This window comes from Homo sapiens, chromosome 3 (genome assembly GCF_000001405.40).
Source record: "Homo sapiens chromosome 3, GRCh38.p14 Primary Assembly".
Lineage (NCBI taxonomy): Eukaryota > Metazoa > Chordata > Mammalia > Primates > Hominidae > Homo > Homo sapiens.
The window spans coordinates 180101418-180103174 of record NC_000003.12 but is presented as its reverse complement, the minus strand read 5'-3'; the positions used below and the strand labels follow the sequence as shown (position 1 = coordinate 180103174).

Sequence of the window (1757 nt, the reverse complement as noted above, 5' to 3'; positions counted from 1 at the left end):
GAATTTTAAGTGTTTTTGCATTGATTCTTTCTCATTTTTGTGGGCTTATCTACATTTGATCTTTGAGGTTGCTGACCTTTGAATGGGGCTTTTAATGGGGTTTTTTTGATGTTGTTTTCTGTTTACTTGTTTGTTTTTCTTTAACAGTCAGGCCACTCTTCTGTAGGGTTGCTGCAGTGTGCTGGGGGTCTGCTCCAGACCCTAGTTGCATTGGGTTTTCCTGTACTTGGAAGTATCACCAGTGAAGTCTGTGAAACAGCAAAGATAGTAGCCCACTCCTTCCTCTGGAAGCTCTGTCTCATGGAGCCACCAACCTGCTGCCAGCCCAAGTGCACCTATAAGAGGTGGCTGGAGAGCCCTATTGGGAGGTATTGCCCAATCAGCAGAAATGAGATCAGGGACCTGCTTAAAGAATCAGTCTGGCTGCTTTTTTGAAGAGCAGTTGTGCTGCAATGTAGGGGACCGACCCTTCCTCATCTGAACCATTTGTGTTCTCCAAAGCCTGCAGGCTGGAACAGCTGAGTCTACCAAACAAGTGGTATGGTGGTCACCCCTCCCTCCAGGAGCTTCATCCCAGGAAGAGATCAGGGCTCTGTCCGTAGAACCCTGGCTAGAGTGGCTGAAGCCCCCACAAGGAGGTCCTGCCCAGTGAAGAGGAATGGATCAGGGTCCCACTTAAAGAAGCAGCCTGTCTGCAATCTGGCAACGCAGCTGGATTATGTTGTCGGGGACCCTTCTTATTCCAGATCATCTGTATTCTTCAAAGCCGGCAGGCAGGCTGGAATGGCTCAGTCTACCAACCTGCAGATATAGCAACCGCCCCTCCCCTCAGGAATTTAGTCCTGACTCGGCAGACTCCAGCCTGTTGACTTTGGCTGCCTGAAATTCCAAGTTAGTGGGTCTTAACCCGTGAGGTGTCATGGAAGTGGGACCTGCAGAACGATGCTCTTTGGCTCCCCGGATTCAGCCCCCTTCCTAGAGATATGTACGCATGGATCTCCCACCTTGCCGCAGATCCCAGAGCCGGAGTATGTAAAACTCCTCGGTCTCTATGTGTGCCTAAGTGGCTGCTCTGCCAAGACTCCACACAGTTCCGTGTATGGGACCGAAGGCCCTGGTGGCGTGGGCTCACAAGGGGATGTCCTGATCCGTGGGCTGCAAAGATCTGTGGGAGATGCCTGGTTTCTTGGGCAGGGTCGCACAATCACTCACTGCTTCCCTTGGCTCGGTGTGGGGGTTGCTTTCACTTTATGTAGCTCTCAGGTGGGCCATTGCCCCACCCTGCTTTTCTTCATTCTCCACGGGTTGAGTTATTTGCCTAATCATTCCCAATGCAAGAACTTGGATATTTCAGTTGAAGGTGCTGAATTCACTGGCTCCTTTCATTCCTCTCTGTAAGTGCCATGGACTGCAGCTGCTTCTAATCAGCCATCTTGGCCCTTCCTTAAATTTTTACATTTAAAATTTTGGTATTTTTGGAATTTATCTAGGCATGAGACTTAGGATACGATTTCAATTTTATTGTCTTACATGGCTACTTATTTCCCCTGAAAGTATTTATTGAGTAAGTCATCTTTTCCCTATGGATTTAAGTACCTTTACGACATACTAGATTATTTGCTGTATTTGTACCTGGGCTTCAAGTTCTGTTCCATTGATCTGTCTATTCCTATGCCCTACCATACTAGTTTAAGTATTATTATTTTATGTTTTAATATCTGGTAAAGGTTGCCTCTGTCTTCTTAATCTTCTCTTTA

At 47.4% G+C, this 1757-nt stretch overlaps 1 annotated feature.

Moving 5' to 3' along the window:
* Positions 612–1112: an enhancer, noted in NCBI's record as "H3K4me1 hESC enhancer chr3:179819851-179820351 (GRCh37/hg19 assembly coordinates)". NCBI's record gives its function as "activates a minimal SCP1, AML or CMV promoter by ChIP-STARR-seq in naive H9 embryonic stem cells {active_cell/tissue: H9 hESC(naive)}" and the evidence as "EXISTENCE:reporter gene assay evidence [ECO:0000049][PMID:30033119]".